General features: G+C 40.1%; 2 annotated features.

The window, feature by feature from the left end:
• Positions 1,958-2,258: a silencer, noted in NCBI's record as "silencer 4 fragment used in repoter construct". NCBI's record gives its function as "represses an SCP1 promoter by reporter assays in K562 erythroleukemia cells {active_cell/tissue: K562}" and the evidence as "EXISTENCE:reporter gene assay evidence [ECO:0000049][PMID:32103011]".
• Positions 5,385-6,584: an enhancer, noted in NCBI's record as "P300/CBP strongly-dependent group 1 enhancer chr20:5376502-5377701 (GRCh37/hg19 assembly coordinates)". NCBI's record gives its function as "activates an origin of replication core promoter dependent on BRD2, BRD4, P300/CBP, MED14 and CDK7 cofactors, with strong dependence on P300/CBP, by STARR-seq in HCT116 cells {active_cell/tissue: HCT116}" and the evidence as "EXISTENCE:reporter gene assay evidence [ECO:0000049][PMID:35650434]".

Raw genomic sequence — 7,345 nt, 5'->3', positions numbered from 1 at the left:
GTCTTCATGATAGTGAGGAAGCTCTCATGAGATTTGGCCATTTAAAAGTGCATGGTACCCACCAACTCAACCACCGCTTTCTCTCTTGCTTGCTCCTCTGGCCATGTGACATGCCTGCTCTCTCTTCACCTTCTGCCAGAATTGTAAGCTTCCTGAGGCCACCCTAGAAGCCAAGCAGATGCTAGCAGCATGCTTCTTCTGCAGAGCTATGATCCAATTAAAACTTTTTCCTTTATAAATTACCCAGTCTCAGGTATTTCTTTATAGCAATACAAGAATTGTCTAATACAATGTCATTTATATAGGTTTTTTTTTTTTATCACTTTGTCTCAAGTATGAAACTGAAAAGCATCAATGTCTGAGCCACCTTGCATGTCTCCAGGACATCTCAGAATTTCTAGTAAAGGGTGCTCAATGAATAGCCACTAAAGAGAATTATTTCTGAAAAAGATTAAGAAGGTTTCACAGAAGAAATTATGCCTAAACAGTGTTTTGAAAGAGTGGATTTCAGAGAAAGACATAACAGTTTGGATAAAAGCCCAGAGGCATGAAAGTATAACATGGTTGAGAAACTATAAGTACTTTGAGCTATAAGTCCTTGGCCAGAAGTTCCAAGTAGCTTGTGGGGGGCTGGTGGGGGGGGGGTGGGAATGGATGGTCCCTAGAGGCCTTCAAGGGTAATAGCATCTAAGTGAATTAAGCCCAAATCCTCAGTTTTGGCAACACCTCAGAATTAATCCCAGACAGGCTGACTTGCACTAACAAAGCTAATTTAATATGAAGGGATAAAATCAGAATGCCAGTTTCTTAATTAACAAGGAGAAATAAACATGTCAGGCAGAAAAGAATGCTTGTGTCAACACAACCAGTACATTCTCTCTCTGTACATGGATTTACATATGAAACCAATTTATGAACAGAATAATGCTGAGAGAGGATAAGATTTGAAACAAGGGAGTTGGGATTTGAATGCTTAATGATATCAAGCCCCGATCAGGGTCCCAGCAGGAAACAGATGGCACACTCAAATTGGATAACTATGGGGACAGTTCAGTACACTATTACTACCACTAGGTCAGAAGAAGTGAGGGAAAGAGTGGCAACTGGAAATCAGAGAAAGAGAGCTGTAGGAGAAACCATAGTGAAGAAGCTGCGGCCTTAAGTCAGGACAGCCAGCATGGAATGGAGCAGGAGGTATCAATAGTCCAAACTGACTCTCATCTCCCCCTTTTATCTCCTGCTGTGTTTTCCATTAACTAAAGCCAATGCAAAGCCACATGGCAAGGGAACCCATGGATGCAGTTTATTCGTGCCAGCCTCCCAAGACCAGAGAAGGAATGGAGGGGCCAATTGAGAACAGCTAGCACATTACATTGATCTAACAGAGTTGCATTTGGGGCAAACCTCCCTGAGCAATGCTCACATGGACATTGCCAGTTCTTCCTTGTTGCAAACTCACGTTCTTCCCAGCTACTGATGGCTCTCCCCTTTGTGAACAACACATATTCTTCACAAACTTCTTTAAACAGGAACATGATCTTTTCTCTGCCTGGACTTGGTTTGGCTCACACAGACAGGCTTTTTTCACTTTTCCTGTTTCTGGCCCTGGAACTATTTTATCTCTAAGGAGCTTTTCATATATATCGTTCTCATCCATTTTGGGTTGCTATTTATAGTTTAACTGGCAGAGTTAAACTCTACCTGTTGCCCACTTTAATGACCTTGAATTAAGTTCTGTATGCATCAGGGGTGGAAGTTGATAATTGCAGACACTGAGTAGCAAGACATCTGAGAGAAAATAGTTAGGGAAATTGTTGCAGTGGCAATGAGAATGGAGAGGAGAAATTGGTTTTAAAAGCTATTTAGGAAGTAGGGATGCCAAGACTTAGGGAATATAAGAGGAAGAAAAGGGCGTCTGAAAGAAAATGAATTTCATTTGAGACTGCAAAGTTTGAGGGGCCTGAAGATCACTTAGGAAAAGACCCACCCCTCTCCCAGTAGCTGTTTTTGTTCATGGTTCAGGCTATCCAGTGTTTCTAGAAAGTTAACCTTTCAGCACCACAGCTGAGGACAGCTCCAGTCAGGACTCTCATCAAGTAAACCAGTGACATTAAGGGTGCTGGACAACTCTTTGGAGGATCATATCTATACCCTTGGGGTACACTAAGAAGCATAATTGTTCAACTATATTCTTTCCTTGATTTTTTTTTCTTTGCTGGCACAAGTTAACTTGTTCCCTCACCTTAGGGCTTACTTGGGGGATTATACATACAGCTCATCACTCTGCAAAATTATCATGGATGTAAACTAGGTAAATATGCAAACTAGACTGTACTATAAGCTGGAAGATTACAATTTCCACATAATGAATAACTGTGTAATTCTCACTGGGCAGGCTCCAAGAAAGAATAAGAAATGGTCTTCATCCTCGTGGAGCTTACAATCTAGTTGGATGCACAAGAAAATCACACACTAAAATGATAATTATATAGAATAGCATTGGCATTCTGAGGAGAGAGAGAGAGACCAATGTTGGGGAAGGCTTGAAAGAGGAAGTTTGTAGGACACATAAACTTTGGTTATGCTGGAAAGGGAGGGAAAGGCCCTCTAAATGAGGGGAAGAGTCTGGGCAAAGGCATGGAAATAGGGATGCTCCATGCGTTGGAGACATAGGAAGGTGGGGCATGTCAGTGAATATGCATCTATAATAACATCATAGAGGAGATGCTGTAGAAACCGTAGTAATAAAAATGTGAGGCTGTCCATGGCCTTTGGCTCATCTCACTCTAAATCGTAATCAGGGTATCTCCCCTGCCAGGTAATTATCTCACCTTAAATTGGACTCGGAGGAAAAAAAAAGCAAGGCTAGTACAATACAGGCTGAAGACAAGGGTTTTGAGGTTACCTTATTCACTGTTAAAAGCATTGTGAGGGCCTGCTACAAACAAGAATCCATGTATACCAAGATGGATGTCATTGAGTGCTTTCATATTTCTTTTATCCATTTGATTGTTAAAATACCTTTGTAAGGTGGACAGAAGGGAGAAGATTGTGTGTAAGTGTCCAGAGAAGAAAGCTGAGCACAGAGTTCAGACGGCTTCATTAAGGCCAGGTGGTTATTGAGGAAGAAAGTCAATACCATCATCCGAGTCTCTTTCTCCTTGGGGTGCAATTGGCGCCAACTTTCTCAAGCAACCCTGAGCCTGCCTAGAGAGTGATGGATGACCAAGAGAATGAGAAATGAGAAATGGTATCTACTGAACACTAATACATCATATATTTAGGAAGCACCTACTGTCCTAGGTGTTGTCCTCATTCCACTGTGAATGAGGGGCCATGGTCCTGGTTTTATACAGTTCACTTTAGACTTTAGTGACTCTGTCCTGACTGTTAATCCATACAGTGATAGATCCTTGCAAAGACTTCCCTACATAGTGGGGGCACTGGAATGTGGGACAGTCACACAAGCTTATGGCCACCACTTTCCTGTTTTGCTCATTGCAATAAGCCAATTTGATGAGACCTGAAGGGAAGTCATCTCATATCCTACACTCTAATTGACTTGACCCACAATGTAGGTGTCTATATAGACTGGTTCCCAAACTGAACTAATGAAATGTTTAAAGAAGGCTGGACATATGAGATTCCCTCTTTTTAGGTCTACAGTCATTTGGTGAGTATGCAGCAGGTATAATTGATCCCTCAATATTCTCCATGCCTTTGTAACTCAGTCTTATTTCCCAGTCCTTCCTTTTTAGTTACTTAACATATTCACCCAAGAGTATTCAGGGACAGCAAAGGGAAAGAAGACATATTATCCATTCCAGCACAATGCACAGGCAGACGTGTTAACCATGTTACTTCTTGAAACGACTCTTAGTTGAGGAAGTGTTAAGGCAGAAGTCATCCCTAATATTTCCTGTTTAACGCATGACCTATATCTTGTTTCAATAGTAAATAAGTCTTTGTTAATAACAGTGAAAGAGTTGTGAGCATACATGGACTTGTCTGAAATTACAGAATTTAAAAATTAGCAATCTGAAGTCTAATCCACCACTTCAAGTTTAAAAGATTCTTCTTATTGACTTTGCCTTTATAATGTGTAGTCAGAGACAACATAAAGATACATCCTCATTTCTCAGTATATTTTTCTACATACATATGCATCCTTGAATATGTTGTATTATATACATAAGTGTCTCACTAAATTGAATCTGTAAACTTCCTAGGTCTAATGTTTTTCTTAAACATTTTTTTTTACTATGGATATGATTATAACAAACTGTCGTGTAGAAACATAGAATCCTAGGACTAGAAAAGATCTTAAATTTCATCCTCAACTTCTAATAGACATTCTAAGGTAATATTTTTAAAAATCATTTTAATAGCCCCTCTGATTTTTAACATACTTTTATCTTCCGTGGATGTGAAGACAGCAAAGTGCATTTACAGTATCTCTAATTCCTGGTCTTTGGACTGCTGTTCCCTCGCCAATCCGTGTGACCCCATACACACGAGGGATTTTTTTTTTTCATAAACATTTTCAAGAGTTTCAAGGCTCTTTTACGAAAGTCCAGGTAGGTTGCATTATCTGAGTTTCTCTAGCAACCCAGTTATTAGAATTCAATTAAAAATGAAAGTATAGGAGCAGTGGCTCAGGTAACCCATTGTTCTTAGTTGTTATTTATGGTTTATTATGACTCAGAGCAGTGGACTGCAACTCAAAGAGAGGGAGCACTTGTAGAATAAAGTCATAAACTATAGGCTTTCTGCCTAAAAATTCTATATTGCCTGTATATTCAGTGCAGTGAATCATCATGAAAATGAGTCACATGAATAGATCAACTAGTAATCACTGGAATTTTTCCTTTAACCAGCAAGGAATTATTTGGCCCTCAAGCTGGAAAATGCGGAAGAAGAAAATGATTAGAGCACTGGTTTTCAACCTTGGCTGTGCACTTGATTCATCTGGCGAGGTTTCAAAATCCTTAGTGTTCAGGCTGCACAGCAGACCCATTCATTAATCAGAATCTCTGGGAGTAGGAGCAAGTATCAGTATTTTCTAAAGCTTCCCGAGATATTCTAAATGTGCAGCCAGATTTTAAAACTACTGTCATCAAAAAACTACTGATGCCTGGGTGCCATCACAAACACTGAGTTGCAAAAGGTTTAGGGTACAGCCTGAGCACCAGGATTCCTATAGGTTCCCTAAGTGGTTTCAGTTGTGTGGCCAGGTTGGGAGCCAATTGTTTAGAGATGAGAGAGCAATGCCATGGCTGCATAAAATGAAAAGACATTCTATACATGGTGAGACCACCTTCTTGCCCATCTTCTTCTCCACCCTCTCTCCCCAGCCAGGGGAAAAATATACATTAGGAAGGAGTGGTTTGTCAGAAAGCTTTACCATACCAAGGTATTGAGGGAGAACTTTGTAACATAATTAGGGATGTGGGTAATGAAATCCATCATTTAGATCTGCTGAGGGTTTCCAACAAGCAACTACCTCTAGCAACGTGAGCTATATGTGAGTTTTAGGTTCTTGAAAAAGGGGGAAAGATTTCTCTCTGGAGTGGAAATGCCACATATCCATCAGCCTTTCCTTTCCGCTTAGAGACTTTGAGTTCATTTACCTGGCAGAAATCAGTTGCCTCTAATTCATATCAGAGGCCACCAGAAGCTGCAAAATTGGTAAGATCTAAGAAACTTAGTGTTTTTTGTTTTTTTTTTTTCTGGAAGGGGAAGAATATGAATAAGAGGGAAAGGCAAAAGAGAGAGGAAGTCGCACACAAAAAATTTTCCATTCCTGTTGGACACCTGTGGAGAGAGAGGCCATGTGTGTCATCAATTTGGTGACATATAAATATTCAAGTCGATTCCAAACTGTGTTACTCACAGGAGAGTCACAGCCAGAGAACACCCAAAAAGGTGACATTTGGGGCAAGGCTTTGGGCTTTTTTCACCTTTGATCAGAAGCAAAGCTGTAGAGATGTATAGAGCATTGGAAAACTTTTAAGCCAGTACTTAGATGTCAGAAAGTGTCACGGATTTCACAATGCGGGGAAGAAAACCTGAAAAATAAAATCATCTTCATTACATTCATCATGCTTCTTCCTCAACCTACATGGTCTCCCAAGCGATTCTAAATGTACAGCCAAATTTAATCTTGTAATACCCCCAAATTCCTATTTTAAAGCATAAAACAGAAGTTTGATCCTTGTGTGTAAACACTGCATTCTTATTTGTGTTCTCTTTGAGAGAGCATGTGGCCCAGCAGGAGGCCTCTTCTCCCTGCCTGCCCAGACAGCTGGTTTGGCCTTGGACCCAGGCAGCATTCTTGGCGAGCAGATATTTTGTGGTCTCGGTTGCTGGAATGATGAGATGGTCATGGGGGCAAAGAAGATGGAGAGAGGAGGCTGTTGTAGGAAAGTTGCACTATTACTGATTTTAAATTATACTCTTATCCGAAGATTTCTCCGTTGGCTCTTTGGTTCAAAACCAGTGGTCAGGACGGTAGCTTAAGACACTCCACCTTTCAATAATCGCCATTCTAAATGGTGTGAGATGGTATCTCATGGTGGTTTTGATTTACATTTCTCTAATGACCAATGATGATAAGCCTTTTCATACATTTGTTGGCCACATAAATGTCTTCTTCTGAGAAGTATCTGTTCATATCCTTTGCCCACTTTTTGATGGGGTTATTTGTTTTTTTTCTCGTAAATTTGTTTAAGTTCCTTGTAGATTCTGGATATTAGCCCTTTGTCAGATGAATAGATGGCAAAAATTTTCTCCCGTTCTCTAGGTTGCCTGTTCACTCTGATGATAGTTTCTTTTGTTGTGCAGAAAGCTCTTTAGTTTAATTAGATCCCATTTGTCTATTTTGCCTTTTGTTGCCGTTGCTTTTGATGTTTTAGTCATGAAGTCTTTGCCCATGCCTATGTCCCAAATTGTATTGCCTAGGTTTTCTTCTAGGGTTTGTATGGTTTTAGGTCTTATATTTAAGTCTTTAATCCACCTTGAGTTGATTTTTGTATAAGGTGTAAGGAATAGGTCCAGCTTCAGTTTTCTGCATATGGCTAGCCAGTTTTCCCAACACCATTCATTAAACAGGGAATCCTTTCCCCATTGCTTGTTTTTGTCAGGTTTGTCAAAGATCAGATGGTTGTAGATGTGTGGCATTATTTCTGAGGCCTCTATTCTTTTCCATTGGTCTATATATCTGTTTTGGTACCAGTACCATGCTATTTTGGTTACTGTAGCCTTCTAGTACAGTTTGAAATCAGGTAGTGTGATGCCTCCAGCTTTCTTCTTTTTGCTTAGGATTGTCTTGGCTATATGGGCTCTT

The sequence above is a fragment of the Homo sapiens genome, chromosome 20 (genome assembly GCF_000001405.40).
Source record: "Homo sapiens chromosome 20, GRCh38.p14 Primary Assembly".
Taxonomy (NCBI): Eukaryota; Metazoa; Chordata; class Mammalia; order Primates; family Hominidae; genus Homo; species Homo sapiens.
The sequence above is the reverse complement of the archived record's forward strand: the minus strand, read 5'-3'. Positions and strand labels throughout refer to the sequence as shown.